A 17,415-nucleotide genomic window follows, 5' to 3' on the forward strand; every position below is an offset into this window, starting at 1 on the left:
TTCTACACTCATACCCAAAGAAGAGATGACACACAAAGAGGTACGACTTCATTTTTTTCCCAGCATTTACTGGCCTAAAGGTGCAGAGATACCATAATTTTAGTTTTTTTCCCATGTCATCCCTCTCCAATATTTGGAAAGGAAGCATTCTCAGTGAGAAAACTGTCAAAGCAAACTTCCTTAATGCTATCAGGACAAGCAATGCCAGGACTTGTTCTTTTTGTGGGCAAGGGACCTGGCGTAAGAGGAAAGAGGAGGGAAAGAGCTATCTGCCATTTGTTTGAATACGTCTCACTTCTAGAAAGTAGAGAGCAGGACTGAGGCCAGGCACGGTGGCTCATGCCTGTAATCCCAGCACTTTGGGAGGCCGAGGCGGGCGGATCACCTGATATCGGGAGTTTGAGTCCAGCCTGACCAACATGGAGAAACCCCATCTCTACTAAAAATACAAAATTAGCTGGGCGTGGTAGCGCATGCCTGTAATCCCAGCTACTCAGGAGGCTGAAGCAGGAGAATCGCTTGAACCTGGGAGGTGGAGGTTGCGGTGAGCTGAGATCGTGCCATTGCACTCCAGCCTGGGCAACAAGAGTGAAACTCTTGTCTCAAAAAAATAAATAAATACATAAAAAAAGAAAGTAGAGAGCAGGATTGAAACCTGGGCCTGTTTGGCTCCAAAGCCCATGCTCCATTCATTCAACACTAATTAAAGTAGAGGACTCTGTGAGAGGCTCAGTGACTCTAGAATCTAGGGTGTTTTCTCCAAATTAGATCTCTCTGACAACCATAGCATTGGAGGCCAAAATCAGTCTTTGCTCATTGACAAGGAAGGGATTGGTCAGTGCATTTATCTAAAGTGTGCAAATCAGGATTCCTACACCTCCCTGGTTCTTTCACAAAGAGGGTATTCTTGGTGGCTGGTCTGTTTCCTGTGGCCAAGAAGAACAGAATACAATGCACAAAGCCCAGGCAGTCAATAAGATCAGTGTTAAAACACAGAAGACAGCATGACAGAGAGGAAGCCAGGAGACAATGGGTTCAAATCCCACCTCTTGGGAAAACTATTTAACCAGCCTGATTTTCAGTTTCCCTGGATAGGAGCTGGAGATAATATAGGTCAACTTCCTAACCACAGTAGGTGTTATAATAGCTATTCCAGAGCCAGCACTTCGTACTTATTTATGTCATGCCTGATCCAGCTCCTTTGCTCCATGGCATAGGAATTGATTTTAAGAATCTTACAACTCCCTGAAGCTTCCAGGCATGATTTAGTGGGGTAGAGGCAATGAGTGATGATTAAAGAATATAGAAACCTCTGGCACCAAATGTTAGAAGACCAGCCAATGGACAATTCTCCATCCCTGGCCCAGAGGACTAAATGGAGACCCCTTGGTTAAGCTCATTTAATCACCTGTCTGGATGAATTGTCAGAAGGAGCCCCCGCCCTGGCAGCTGACCCCCTCCCCAAGTTGCACGGTGATCCTTGCTTTGCAAACTCAAGGCTAGTAAGTCCTTGGAGGAGGCTGGAGGCTGGGATACAATCCCGGCTATGAAGGCAGGGCTGGCTGGAGATCATTCATTCATATACTCATTCACTGAAAAAATGTGAAAACCACTCAAAACCTCTGAGAAATTAAAGTTGGTTTTCATAGGTCTGCTTCCCTCTGGCCTTCTGCTCACCTGGCATAACCTGTGCATGCTACATACTTATTTGAACAGGGGTATGTAGGAGAGGAAGGATGAAAGAGTGAAACAAAATATTGTCAACATCTGCCTTGTGACTTAGAAAATAAATATGATGCCATGCCCTTAAGGGATTCTTCTGAGAAAAATGAAGTTATTGCACAAAGAAACAGATTCTTAGAAAGACTGAAAAATTTGCTTGTACTTCTAAAACTGTTGAGTATGACTAAGAAATGAGATGCCCCATCACACTGCCATTTAGGACGGGTTCCAAAACGTTTCCCTGACTCAGGGCCATATTTTGGTAAAGAGAATGAAGAGAATGAGTCTGGTTTACCATGTGATTCCTTTACTCAATCTTCCATTCACACACACACACACACACACACACACACACACACACACACACGCACCAACTATTAGCAACATCATGAATTCCTTCACTTCTCCTGTTTGGCTTCTCTATTTATTTATTTATTATTTTATTTATTTTTGAGATGGAGTATTGCTCTGTCACCCAGTCTGGAGTGCAATGGCGCGAGCTCAGCTCACTGTAACCTCCGCCTCCCAGGTTCAAGCAGTTTTTGTGCCTCAGCCTCCCAAGTGGCTGGGATTACAGGTGCCTGCCACCACGCCCAGCTAATTTTTTTTTTTTCCAGTAGAGACAGGGTTTCACCATGATCCACCCGCCTTGGCTTCCCAAAGTACTGGGATTATCAGTGTGAGCCACCACGCCTGGCTTTTAATATTTTTTTCGAAAAGGTCTTGACTCTGTCACCCAGACTGGAGCTCAGTGGCACAATCTCAGCTCACTGCAGCCTTGACCTCCCAGGCTCAAGTGTTCCTCCCACCTCAGCCTCCCCAGTAGCTGGGACTACAGGCAAGCACCACCACACCCAGCTAACTTTTGTATTTTTTGTAGAGATGGGGTTTCACCATGATGGCCAGGCTGGCCTTGAATTCCTGGGCCTGAGCCATCCTCCCACCTTGGCCTCCCAAAGTGCTAGGATTACAGGCATAAGCCACCATGCCTGGCCTCTGTCTTAATTCATTAAGTTTTAGGCTTTTCAGCTAACCTGTAGATTATCTAACACAGTGAAGGGGTTTTCTCTTTTATTACCCAGAGCACTTGGTGCAGGAGCCAGTTCTACCTCCAGGTGTGGTTTGTTGGGAAAGGATTCAGATAAGAAGTGATGCTTGAGCTGAATCTTAAAGGAGGTGTTTTCCAGGTAAAGGAGGCAGGGAAAGAAAACCCAGGGGGAGTATGGAGGTGATAAAGAGGCTAGTGGAAGGTGCAGGTGCATAGTCTGGCTGTGCTAGTGCCAGGGCATGGGTGATGGGTCCCACCTGGAAAGAAGGCTAGACTTGGAGTTGGGAACCAGGTACCAAGTGCCTTACGGCCCCTGCAGGTATGTCCTGAGCCCAACCAGGATTGTTTGGAAGATTTTAAGCCGAGGGTGAGAGGTAGGATGGATTCAGATTTGGGGACCTGAGTGGGGAACCTGATCAGATTTGCTTTTTGGAAAGTGACTGTGACAGATACGTGAGCCATGGGCAAGTCTTCAACCTGAGCCTCAGTTTCCTCATTTCTCAAGCAGGAACAATAGATGTGCGTGAAGACTGGAAGCGATAATGTATGTGAAAAGTGGTATATGTCAACTATTATTACATGACTTTGAGTCACGAATGAGCTAACATGCTTACGTTCTCAAGAAGAGATCAGTTTCGTCATCTGCTTGGTATTGTTTCTTGATTTATACAGCTGTTTCCTCAAGCATTTTTCTTTAAATGGGAGCAGCTATTACTATTTTTTGTCTGTTTCAGCTTCAACTCTGTTACAAATTGGAAGGAACGAGTTGTTGAACATTGATCGTAGAAAAGGAAAAGAAAGTTTTTATTTTTTGCCTTGTTGTGCATTCATTCTTTCAAAAGCTGTTTAGAGGAAAAAACATTTTCTATCTTCTCATAGTAGTAAGTAGCAACTCAGGTGCCTGAAGACCCCATCATATTTTACTAAAACTCTCCACTCCAAAAGAGCATCAGTTGTGTGTAGGTGAATAGAAAGCTGGTGTGTAGGCCGGGCACGGTGGCTCACACCTGTAATCCCAGCACTTTGGGAGGCCAAGGCGGGTGGATCACCTGAGGTCAGGAGTTTGAGACCAGCCTGGCCAAAATGGCGAAACCGTGTCTCTACTAAAAACACAAAAATTAGCCTGGCATGGTGGCACGCACCTGTAGTCCCTAAGCTACTGCAGAGGCTGAGGCGGGAGAGTCGCTTGAACCTGGGAGGCAGAGATTGCAGTGAGCCGAGATCGCGCCACCGCACTCCAGCCTGGGTGACAGAGCGAGACTCTGTCTTAAAAACAAAAACAAACAAAAAAGAAACCTGGTATGTAAGTAGCTAAATATAGAGACGTATAGGAGGCATCTTGTAATGTGTGATTATTCATTTGATTTTATTCAGTGTGCTATTAAGAAGGGCCCTTCCTTCTAAAGAAAATTAGAACATTTTCAAAGCTTGCGTCTGAATCCTGTCTCACTACTCAGTAATGGAGTGACCCAGGAAACCGCATCACCTCCCCAAGCCCCAGTCCCTGTGAAATGGGGAGTGTAGTAAGACCTGCTTCCTAGGGCTGTTGGGAGGATCAGGTGAGACAATCTGATTGAAGGACTTGGACCAGTGCCTGATAAATAATAAGCACTTGGTAAGTTATTATTAGGGCTGGGAGAGCAATAACTTCAGCTGCGAAAGCTAATACTAGTCTATCCTGATGACGGCATCAGATACTTATTTTCAAGTTTCTTCTGAAGACAAATTTTAATTGACACTTGAAAACCAGGAAGAGCATGAAAAAGAGGACTCAGTGTAGCCTCTAAAGGCTGTTGAGCCTGAAGAGGTGTTGGAATGCCGTGCCCGCCTTGTGGTGCAGGCTTCAGCAGTTTAGGCCCAGAGGACTGTGGGTCCCACCTGCCTGACAGCAGGGCACACAGGTGCTGAGCAGTTGGCCATTACTGGGCTGTGAAAACAGCATGAATGGGGAATGGAGACTGTGGGCAAAGCAGTACAGTCCACTTGTTCGCAGGTGGGAAAGTCAAACTCTGTCTTTATTCTTTTTTTTTTTTCTTTTTGAGATGAGTCTCGCTCTGTCGCCCAGGCTGGAGTGCAGTGGCGCGATCTCGGCTCACTGCAAGCTCCGCTTCCTGGGTTCACGCCATTCTCCTGCCTCAGCCTCCCGAGTAGCTGGGACTACAGGCGCCCGCCACCGCGCCCGGCTAATTTTTTTTTTGTATTTTTAGTAGAGACGGGGTTTCACCGTGTTAGCCAGGATGGTCTCGATCTCCTGACCTTGTGATCCGTCCGCCTCGGCCTCCCAAAGTGCTGGGATTACAGGCGTGAGCCACCGCGCCCGGCTGTCTTTATTCTTTTACCATTTTATTTGGGATAAGTAGCAGCACTGCCTGGGAAGACCCTTGGGAGGGAGAAGGAATCTGTTGGATGGAAATCTTACCTTTGAGCATCAGTTATATTTAATGCCTAGTTTCAGCCCTTTTCATATTAGACTTTCCAACAGCAAGTCAAGGAAAGTCAAGGAGCGAAAGGAAGATGGGCTCAGAGGAAAGGTTTTTTTTTTTTTTTTTTTTTTGAGATGGAGTCTTGCTCTGTCACCGAGGCTGGAGTGCAGTGGTGCGATCTTGGCTCACTGCAATCTCTGCCTCCTGGGCTCAAGCGATTCTCCTGCCTCAGCCTCCTGAGTAGCTGGGATTACAGGCATGTGCCACTACACCCGGCTAATTTTCTTATTTTTAGTAGAGATGGGGTTTTGCCACGTTGGCCAGGCTGGTCTCGAACTCCTGACCTCAAGTCATCTGCCTGCCTCGGCCTCCCAAAGTGCTGGGATTACAGGCATGAGCCACTGCGCCCGGCTGGAAAGGTTCTTTTAAGAGTTCCACAAAGTGGCCAAAAGTTTATTCTTGCATTTTATCATGCGTATGCCTTGGAGTTATGTTTTTGGAATATGACTTAAGAAAACAAACTTTCCAGGTAACACGTAGCCGGTTCCCATCTTTCTAGCATCTCTGCCTTTGGCTGATGTGACGCCATACGTTCCTGACAGTTAATGTTGGCTCTGTAGGGATCTGATGCCAAGTACAGTCATAGCTCAGCCATGACACAGGGCCTTCCAGATAGGCCAGATTCAGTGCCCTTCCCAACAGATGCCTCTCCATCCCCCACACCTCCCGACTCCACCAAAATGAAGTGGAAGCACGTCTTGAGTTGCCCATTTCTTCTGTGTCTGGTCAGGCACACGTCAAGAATGTTGGCTGGTGATGGGCTCAAGGCAGGCACAGCCCGCTTCACTGTGCATGTGTGCAGGCTTGATTGACACTGGCAAAATCTGCAAGGATATTTCTAGACATTCCAAGTGATTGGTTCCTCTGAGGAAATGAAACATTAAAAAAAAAAAAAAAAAAAAATATATATATATATATATATATACACATGTATATTTAATTATTTTTTTAAAGCCACAATTGAAAAAATTCTTTGCCACTGGGTAGAATTAAATCTGACAGGAAACCCTAGGAGTTTTTATTAGTACCATTATTGTTTTCTTTGGCTCCATGTATTATGTCGGTAAAATGACAAAAAAAAAAAAAGGAAAAAAATTGTAAAAGACAAATATTTTGTACAAAAATACAAAGTTTTAAAAGCTCTTTAAGTATATTTCATATTATTACTAATAGTTGGCCTATATATCTGTATGTCTGCATATTTTTCCTACACTTGGGATTTTAGAAATGTATGGCACTGTTTACACAGTATATGCTTAAGTTCTTCCCATAACTCAACGACCAATGATAACCTTTTTCTGATTGGAGTGTTCCATACTTTGGAAGACATAATTTGTATAATCGCACGGTTACTGACGGAGGAGAATCTATGTGATTCAGTCCATGTGCACAATGAAAATCAGCATATCACCCTGGGGAACATTTTAGTTCCCAAGTCTTTGGGTAATGACGGATGGTAAAAAACACTAGCTGTCAATTTTTTTTCAGTAATTGGTTTTCAGTGCTTTTTTTTTTTCAATCTGATGAGAAGGTGATGCAATTAGAAAGGAGTGTCCTTTGCCTTTGAGAGCTGAAAATTTGCTCATGTGATCCCATCACAGTCCGTTATAATGCAGATGACAGTACTAAAAGAGAGAAATAAGAATGGGCATTAGTTTTTCTTAAATAATAAAGTTAATGTGCAATTCAAAAAAAGGGAACGTGTATTTTTATAGGACAGTGTCTAAAATACATCATTCAACAATGCTTATATTTTCAAAGAAATGTCTAGAAGATCTTATTTGGATGAAAAGATAAGTTTCATTTTGAAAAGCCAAGTTTCATTTTGAAAAGCCTATTCTGGGAAAGCCTGGTCCCTACTCAAATCCCAAATGGCCAAACAAAGCATACAAAAGACAAATCTGAGTTACTTGTCACCATCAATTATAATCCCTTGTTTAGATATCTGTGTTTTTCCCCCTCAACTGACCCAGCTGTGAGTTCCTATGTGTCTTAAGGTCCCTAGCACTTGGACCAATGCCTGACACATCAAAGGTGCTCAGTAACTGTCTGTTGAATGGCAATACGGATAATTTATGCCCCAGTTACTTCCAAAAATAGTTTGACCAAAATATATTTGAGGTTTTTGTTTTTATATGAACAGCTTTATTGAAATATAATTGACAAATTGTATAATTCACCCATTTAAAGCATATAATTCAGTGGTCTTTGGTATAGTCACAAAGTTATGCAATTTAGAACCAATCTAATCTAATTTTAGAACATTTCCATCACCCCAAAAAGAAACCCCATACCCATTAGCATTCATTCCCCATTTCCTCTGTCCCCTATCACAAACTTTTAATCTCATTCTGGTGAAGAAAACTAAGATGCCACATTCCAAAGAGGGTCGTGTGTTAAATGAAGCTTTAGATACATAGCCTTTGAAGTCAAGAAAATCTCCAAAAGCTGCTTTGGCTTATGAGCTGATAAGCAGCACAGACCATCTCCCTCTATTATGTATCACAGGATCTGGCCTATAGTAGATGCTCAATAGATACACGTGGAATTGAACGCTTGGCCACCTGGATTAGCTGTGTATGGATGTCTACGGAAAAGAACTAACATTGGTGCTATATCTCTTTTCTTTTTTGAGATGGAGTTTCGCTGTTGTTTCCCAGGCTGGAGTGCAATGGTGCGATCTCGGCTCCCCACAACCTCTGCCTCCTGGGTTCAAGCTATTCTCCTGCCTCAGCCTCCTGAGTAGCTGGGATTACAGGCATGCGCCACCATGCCCGGCTAATTTTGTATTTTTAGTAGAGATGGGGTTTCTCCGTGTTGGCCAGACTGGTCTCAAACTCCCAACATCAGGTGATCTGCCCGCCTCCACCTCCCAAAGTGCTGGGATTACAGGCGTGAGCCACCGTGCCTGGCTGGTGCTATATTTTAAAGAACAATTAACTCACAATATAAGATACTTATGTGGGTCAGTTAGTTTAGCATTCGTTGAGTACTTCCTACATGTGAGGCACATTTATTAACTTATTTAAATCTTCACAACCTCGTGAAGAAGATGCTATTACTATTTCCCTGAGGTTAATCACCTGCCCAGTTAATAAATGGCATAACCAGGGCTGAAACCTAATTGCAGTGCCTGCATTCAGGGCCCTTGTACTCACCACCCCTCACCCTTTCATAGGACATAAGCTGGCAGCTCCCTCTTAAATCCCATCTACTGCTCACCTGTCTCCCTGTCTTTTTCGCAAATGAAGTTATTGACGTCTTCACATTGGAAATCGTTCCACTGCCCAGCATAAATCAACCCAGCACAGTCTTCTCCTGGCCCATGGCCATGACCCCAGTTATCCGGCTGTCCAGCTTTCCAATTTCTTTTAGCAAAACAGAAATTGAATGTTATTTGCACAGTAATGCAGAGCTTTTCTTTACTCAAGAGCAGCAGAGAATATAAAAAAACAAAATTGAAGCATGTCATTTATCCTGGAATGAAAATGCAGTTTAAAAATCAGTACATGCTCTTATTCAGAGAAAGGAGCAGCTGTTTTGCAGAGTAATGCATAATGCGGCATCTCCCTGCGCGCTTGTGATCTTTGCTACCATGAACCAAACTCACTAGGCTGGTTCATCAGAATGCAGAGGGAGCGAATCTTGCTTTGGGACAGTTAGATGAATAACTTTCTAATGTGTACTGGAATGCTGACTTCTGGGCATGAGTGTATATATGTGTGTGAATATCTATTCATTATGAGGACATGATACACACACACACACACACACACGCACACATGATCTTGTGAGAACCCAGAGGGACCTTGTACATTTCAATATCTTGCCTCTAACAAGTCCAAGAGCCAGGAAGAGAAAGTGAAAGACTTTTGATATACATTTACAAGAACCTACAATTACAAATAACTGGTTATGATTGTCTGGGTGAGTTGTAGAAGGTTGATTGCTTTAGAAAGAAATAGTAACTTAATCTTACTGAAAATGACTCCTACATTTCACTCCCTTTTTTGGGAGAGAGATTCTTAAAAACAAGTTTTCTTTAGGATGAGTTCACATGGGGCTTCTTAACTTGGATGCTGCTGCTCAGAACAGCACCTTGCCATGGATAACAGTTCTTGATTACGTTTCCACGAATAAATCAGGTGTGCTTCCAGACTCACCCCTTGAAGGTTCAATCTTGTCTAAGAAGCAGATTCATGCACAGAAGCTTGTGGCTGCTGCCTGAGAGGACAAGCCTGCCTCATGTGGAGGGTCTGGAAGAACATCTGCAGCGGAGGGTGCTTCCTATAAACAATGACTCATTACCGCACTGGCCACAGGGTGTCCTCGGGTCACCCGAGGAGACAGCCTGTATGGCCCTGTATCTTTGGACAATAACACCCGCAAAACCAGAGGCAGCGGGAAAGGACAGTTGAAGTTTAGTCAAAGGGTGGGGACAGGGTAGAACTGACTCCCCCACACCAAATGTGTATTTTGGGATTTAAAAAAAATGAGTATGAAGGCCGGGCGTAGTGGCTCATGCCTGTAATCCCAGCGTTTTGGGGGGCTGAGGCAGATGGATCACCTGAGGTCAGGAGTTCGAGACCAGCCTGGCCAACATGGCGAAACCCTGTCTCTACTAAAAATACAAAAATTAGCTGGGCATGGTGGCAGGCACCTGTAGTCCCAGCTACTTGGGAGGCTGAAGCAGGAGAATTGCTTGAATCCAGGAGGTGGAGGTTTGCAGTGAGCCAAGATCATGCCACTGCACTCCAGCCTGGGTGACAGAGCGAGGCTCCATCTCAAAAATACATATATATATATACATTGAGTGGCCTCAATTAAATAAACCTAGTGATGAAAGAGAATTCAGAGGAAACCATCGATTGGTGAGAGTAAAAATGGGATGCTACTTAGAAGGGAGAGTTAGAAAATAGTCTCACTCACTCACTCACACCAGGCATCCATAGCACTCCTGCTATGAGCCAGGTATCATCTGGGTGATGGCAACATAGCAGTGCAGAGAAGAGACAAAGTCCCAACTCTTACAGCTTACATAACAGATGAGTCACAATGAGTTCAAAATCTCAGCCTGTGACAATCTCAGCCTGACGCCAGATAGAGATGAAGTTGGAAAGAAAAGTAGTTTACTTTCACATTTGGTTTTTTGTGTAACTCTTTTCACCTTGTGAGATTCTTCTGGAGATGTCAACAATGCCTGAGCAGTTTAATCTTGTGGACATACATTTCGTTCATTTCTGCCAGTAATATGGGGGGTTTGATTCCATTTTTGTTTATAAAATTTGAGATCTATGATTCCTGAATGTATAATGATAGGATATTTGATATTCTTGACTTCTCAGTTAATTGGGAAATTATATAAATATGACTTCTTTGGGCTTAGAAGTCCTGCTTAATATTTTCCCCTTGCGTTTCCTTTTAAGTCATTTTAAGTTAAATAAATAAAAAGGATGTATCAACCAGGCAGAGAAATAACTGAGTGATAAGAAAGGAGATAATCTTTATCGCCTTTCTCCATTTGTTTTTCCAGGTCACTGGAATTCTTCACATACAGTACTCAAGGCTTTCCTTAGGACTAAAAGCAGAATGCAGTTCTGTGGCCATAAGCGGAGGTGACTGCAGTAGGCCAGAATGGGTGGAAAGTGGGTAGCCTGAAGCCAGACTGAAGGGACAATTTATTCTGTGGGCTGACCACCCAGAGTCTCAAAGCATCTCTTTGGCAAAGCTAAAATCACATGGAGTGATTTGTGGCAAAACCCCTCAGTCTGCATGTTTATAATAATATAGAACGTAACGTGTCAAATAAGCAAAATGTATATATTTTGGAGAAGAATGTCAGCTTAAATAGTGCTTAACCTCATTCACAGGTAGATTCTGGCAAGATGAATGGCTGAAGTCTGGGGCTCAAAGCCCTGAATTCTACATTATCATACACATGTCACAGAAGTGAGCGGTAGCAGCACATACATATACTTGGACATCACACTCTGAAAACACCAGGAATCTTGGAAATGCTTGGACTGATTGCTCCAGTAAGCTGGAAACACACACACACACATCAAATATATATATCTAAATATAAGATACTTAGAATAGGATTTAGAGGCTGGGCATGGTGGCTCACACCTGTAATCCCAGCACTTTGGGAGGCCGAGGTGGGTGGATCACCTGAGGTCAGGAGTTCAAGACCAGTCTGGCCAACATGGCGAAACCCCATCTCTACTAAAAATACAAAAATTAGCCGGGCCTGGTGGCAGGTGCCCGGAGTCCCAGCTACTCAGGAGTCTGAGGCACGAGAATCGCTTGAAGCCAGGAGGTGAAGGTTGTAGTGACCCAAGATCATGCCACTGTACTCCATCCTGGGTGACAAAGCGAGTCTCCATCTCAAAAGAAAAAAATAGGATTTAGAATATAGGACCATAGAATGAAAGAGCCTGGAACAGAACCTTTAACATCTTCTAATTCAGCCTAGCGCAGTGGCTCACACTGTAATCCCAGCACTTCAGGAGGCTAAGGCAGGAGGATCACTCGAGGCCAGGAGTTCAAGACCTGCCTGGGCAACACAGTGAGACCACCATCTCTATAAAAAATTTAAAATAAATTAGCCAGGTATGGTAGCTGATGCCAGAAGTCCCAGCTACTCAGGAGACTAAAGTAGGAGGATCACTTGAGCCTCGGAGGTTGAGGCTGCAGTGAGCTGTGATTGTGCCACTGCACTCCAGCCTGGACAACAGAATGAGACCATCTTAAAAAATAAAAAATAAAACACAAAAAACTGAAAACACAATGTATGATATTATACGGAGCAGTCTGCATAGACAGAAAGGCACCACATTTTATCTTTGTGATGCCAAGATGAAAGCTGTGACTCGTAGTGTGACAGCACACTCCCACCAAATGAGGTCCCGTGGACAGAGGAACAGAAGAGCTTCTAGTGCGTTTGGGGAGATTCTCAGGAAGACTGTCACATCTCTGGTGATCTAAGGTGGGCAACTGCAAGCAGGGTAGGCAAGAGAGGCCTTAACAACCTCCCTTAGCATTCTGCTCTGAGCAGGTGGGCAAGTACCCAGGTCCCGTATGTGTCCGGCTCCCGCAGGTCTAGCAGGCAGCCTCCATTAACAATGACAGTCTCCCAATCACATGCTTACACCTATACTCATTACACCAAGAGTAAAAGGATCAGCCTTTTTTTTTTTTTTTTTTTTTTTTTTTTTGAGACAGAGTCTTGTTCTGTCTCGGAAAAAAGAAAAAAGAAAAAAAGCCAAGGCTGGAATGCAGAGGTGTCATCACAGCTCACTGCAGCCTCAACCTCCCAAGCTCAAGTGATCCTCTCACCTCAGCTTCCTGAATACCTGGGACCACAGATGCACACCAGCACACCCAGCTAATTTTTAAGTTTTTTGTAGAGATGGGGTCTTGCTATGTTGCTCAGGCCGGTCTCGAACTCCTAGGCTCAAGCAATCCTCCCGCCTTCGCCTCCCAAAGGAAAAGATCAACTTTGACATGTTCCTGGTTTTATAGATCCTTTCTACTGTTGGTCTTTCTATTTCACTGCTTTCCTTCCTTTGACTTACTTAGGGATTAATTTGTTCTTCTTTTTCTACCCTGGTAAAGTGGAAGCTTAGATCATTGATTTTCAACCTTTAAACAAGGTTTCTAATATATGTAATTTAAAACTATAAGTGTCCCTTTCTAAATACTATTTTAGCTGCATCCCACAGATCTTGATATGTTTTCATCTTCTTTGAAACATTTTCAGATTTCCTTTGTGATTTTTCTCTTTGACCCATGGGTTATTTAGAAATGTGTGGTTTAAAATAATTGGGATTTTACAGACATTTTTCTATCTATGTCTAATTTAATTATTTTGGTCAGAAAACATACTCTATATAGTTCTAGTTCCTTTTTGTTTTTGTTTTTTTTGAGATGGAGTCTCGCTCTGTCACCCAGGCTGGAGTGCTGTGGTGCGATGTCAGCTCACTGCAACCTCCACCTCCCGGGTCCAAGCAATTCTCCTGCCTCAGCCTCCCGAGTAGCTGGGATTACAGGCATCCGCCACCACACCTGGCTAATGTCTTTTACTTTTAGTAGAGACGGGGTTTCACCATGTCGGCCTGGATGGTCTCGAACTCTTGGCCTCAGGTGATCCACCTGCCTTGGCCCCCCAAAGTGTTGGGATTACAGGCGTGAGCCACCATGCCTGGCCTGATAGTTTTGGCTTTTTTTTAAATTTATTGAGACGTATTTTATGGCCCAGAATATAGTTCATCTTGGTGAATGTACCACATGCACCTGAAAAGAATATGTATTTGCAGATGTTGGGTAAAACATCCCACAAATATCAATTAAGTCAAGTCAGTTGATTGTGTCTACTATATCCCTATCAATTTTTCCATCAGTAATTGAGAGGGGAATGTTGAAATCTCCTTTGAAGGCCTGTTCTTTGCTGTATCCACAGTTAGGGTTGCTATGTTCTATTGACTGTGACATGGCCCTGGAAACCTGCCTTTTTAAAACATGATCCCAATGACGACTGCTCACTCATACTGCTGCCCCCACACTCCAGAAAAGATCCTGCAGGCCAGCACAGAGGCTGGCTCATGGCAGACACTTCAAGATAATCCATCAAATGTTATCATGAGACTGTGGGCCAATGGACTCTAATCTCCAGTCAGGGGCTGGGTGTTGGCCAAGAATGAAGTTTTCACAGGACCTGGTGAAATGAGAAGAATAAGGACAATGTGTGTGTGTGTGAATGTAAGATGGCCAGCCATCTCTTCTTGGAAATAATTATAGGTTTATTATTATTTTTTTTAATGCTGAGATTTGCTGATTGGTACTTTCTAAAAGCCTTGTCCTTAATTGGCAAATAAAATCCTGCTGATCTGTGTTGGCCCTGCCAGTCTTTCTTTTGAAATTGTATTGGTGTGTGGATCCAAAGCATCTGGGGACCCATCCTTGGAACTGTCCGGGCCATTGCAGGTGGCATCTCACGCCACCCTTTCCCCTCAGCTGGTCCTGTCCTGCTGCGGTGCAGAAAGAGCCATAAGATTCAGCAAGTCAGGTTGAGTGTTTCATGGGAAATAAGCCTGAGCTCAATCTGTGTGTCCCCTAAGCCTTTGGCTTCTGTTCCATGTCACTATTGCCTTCTGTCTGTTCCAGCACTCTCTTTCTCAACCAGGTCTCAGCATGAAAAATGAGGTGAGGCCGAGACGCAGAGGAGAGAGCCTTTTATCCCTCGTCTATTTGCTCTTTAACAGTAACCACAAAACCTGCAAACTGTTTTAAAAGGATTTCACGCGTGTTGGGAGAAAAGAATAAGGGGAAAGCAGTGGTACTTAATTCTTCCTAGCCTGGGCAAGGGATGGGACGGTGCCAGGCCCATCGGCTTCTATTTTTTGGAAGAGTTTAAGAAGAACTGGTGCTAACTCTTCTTTGAATGTTTGGTAGAATTTGGCTGTGAAGCCATCTGGTCCTGGGCTTATCTTTCTGGGAGGTTTCTGATTGCTACTTCAATCTCCTTCTTTGTTATTAGGCTGGCCAGGCTATTTCTTCCTTTTTTTTTCCTCGTTTTTTTAAGAGATGGGGTCTTGCTCTATTGCTCAGGCTGGTCTTGAACTCCTGGCCTCAAATGATACTCCCACCTCAGCCTACGCTTTCTATTTCTTCTGGATCCAGTCTTGGTAGGCTGTAGGTTTCTAGGAATTTATCCATTCTTCTAGGTCATCCAATTTGTTGGTGAATAATTGTTCATAATCGTCTCCTGCGATGATCTGTTCCAGAAATCACTGCTGGCGGCAGGGGAAAGGGAGGTGGATGGGCCAATCCTTGGAGGCCACAGATGCAAAGACAAGGAGAGTAAAAGTGAGTCTGACTAGGAGGAGACATATTTGGGGCGGTTTATGCTGGTAGGAGACCCTTGAGAGCCTGAAGCCCAGTCCCCATTCCCAGGCCATGCAGAGAACGTTTTTCTTGTCTTCTTCACACACCTGTTGTGGGACTTGAGTGAGACACTGTGTGGACATCCCAATCAGGATACTGTAAAATATATACATTCTATGTAGTATTTATCTGCAACTGCTAACTAATATGATAATAATTATGATGATAATAGCAATAATATACCAATACCAGCAGGTACTATTTCTTGAGCACTTCCTATGTGCCAAGCCCTCGACTAAATGCTTTGCATACAGCTATCACACTTTATTTTCACAATACTGACATAGGTATTTTGGAAAATTCATCTTATAAATGGGGACATGGAGGTTTTGCAGAGTTGAGCAACTCACACGAGGCCTTGCAGCTTTGAGTGTTGCTGGGTCAAGGCCCAGAACCCCGATCTTGCTGATGCTAGATCCCTCTAGCATCTAGCTGATGCACTCCCTCCCTCGGCTGCACTGGCTTTCTTTCTAGTTTGTGCAATGTTTATTATTACATGTCAAATTAAATTAGCCTTTGGTTATTGAGACCTCATAACACGCCTGTCTAACTTATTCTTGCTTTTAAAATTTGATCCTGGGGATTTTTATGTTCCTATGTATTCCTTTGGGTGGAAAACGAGAAGCACAGCCTGTGTGGTGGCTGGGGTGCAGAAGCTGAGGATTTGGGAGGCTCCAAAATGGCTGTGGTTGGGGACTGGGTGCCCAGTAAGGTGTCTGGTGACGTCATTCTTCTCAGGTCCTGGGTACCAAGCGGGTGCGCTCCATCCAGATCATGTAATTCTTGCTGGACCCCAGGGAAGAGGAGAAAAATTTCACATTGGGAGAGCTGGCATAGACAGTAATGTTCCAGCTCAATCCATTCCATATGGGCCAATCCAGTTTTTTTCTTGGGGAAAGGCTTAAGATTGAATTTCTTAGTGAGTCTAACCCAGACCTTTGTGCATTTACGGCAGTGAAAAATGTGGAGAAGATGATTTTTTGTTTCAGCTTCTCCCAACTCTCTTAAAAAAAAGACCCCGGCGCTCTTGGCTGTCAAAAAAGCAGAATTTTGTCTTTTTTAAAAAACAGTCTCTGTCTCCCATCCCATCCCCAGCTCCAACCTTCTACAGCTACTGTTTTAGATGGTGATTCCTGCAACTGTTTTGAGTCTCCTAAAGTGTGTCCCTGCTGTGTTGGGCACTTTCCTTGGCTCATCAGGCAAAGTCTCAAGTGCCAGATTATGCCAGGGGGTACCCCTTCCTCTCCCCAGGACAGGCGCAGAGGAGCCGACGAGTCTCTGACAGGCCTGCAGCAGATATCCACTTGCCCTTAAGGGCAGTCTGAGGCTCACCTTCAGAGCAGACCTAAAATCTTCTAATGTTCCAAATCAATATTTCGCCACATGTTTATTTTTTATAAAGAGCTGGCCTGGCTAGGTGCGGTGGCTCATACCTCTGATCCCAGTGCTTTGCGAGGCCAAGGTGGGAGGATCACTTGAGGCTAGGAGTTTGAGACCAACCAGAGCAACATAGTGGACCACGTCTATCCAAAAACTTTAAAAATTAGCCGGGTGTGGTGATGTGCACCTGTGATTCCAGGGACTTGGGAGTCTGAGGTGGGAGGATCGCTTGAGCTGGGGAGATAAGAGGCTGCAGTGAGCCATGATCGTGCCACTGCCCTTCAGCCTGGGCAACAGAGTGAGACCTTGTCCCTTAAAAACAAACAAATAAAAACAAAAGAGAGATGGCCTTATTCTGGTTTCCTCCTTTATCCTCTGATCCTACTCACATGGAGAATTTGAAAGTACAAAAGAGCCTGTTTATCCAAATGCACATGCACACGCACATAGGGACATTTAAAAAACTCGATCTGGCTTCTCCATCACCTCTGACCCTCCTCCCTGCTGCTCAGCTGATACAGGGCTAGGCCTCCATGCCCATGAGACTCTCTTAGGCCTGAAACACCCTTGTTTTCTCCTCTCCTGGGACAGCCCCAGAGGCCACACCGTGGACTTTGCCTAGTGCTCTCAGAAGGTGCTTCCAATGCGGTGATGCTCCTGTGCCTGGTGGAGCCCTGCAGGGTCTGGCCTCTCCGTCCCCAGCAAACTAAAGGTTACTCAGAGGGTTTTTTTTTTTTTTAATTTTATTTTTTTTATAAATTCTGCTTCATTTGTTACAGTTCCTTGCAATTTTCACACCCGTCAGAGGCAAAGCCAGAGTATGGAGATGTGATAATC

General features: G+C 44.2%; 1 protein-coding gene across 2 annotated transcripts in view; it reads right to left on the reverse strand.

Moving 5' to 3' along the window:
* Window positions 3,551–17,415, reverse strand: part of COLEC12 (collectin subfamily member 12) — a 183,965-nt gene continuing 170,100 nt past the window's right edge. For both annotated transcript variants that reach the window (XM_011525741.3, NM_130386.3), the window contains 2 exons: window positions 8,476–8,621; window positions 3,551–6,878 (listed from right to left, as the gene is read on the reverse strand). In XM_011525741.3, coding sequence (XP_011524043.1) covers window positions 6,859–6,878; window positions 8,476–8,621 — 166 coding nt within the window. In that variant the 3' untranslated portion in view covers window positions 3,551–6,858. The remainder of the gene's footprint in view (window positions 6,879–8,475; window positions 8,622–17,415) is intronic.

This window comes from Homo sapiens, chromosome 18 (assembly GCF_000001405.40).
Source record: "Homo sapiens chromosome 18, GRCh38.p14 Primary Assembly".
In the NCBI taxonomy this organism is placed as follows: Eukaryota; Metazoa; Chordata; class Mammalia; order Primates; family Hominidae; genus Homo; species Homo sapiens.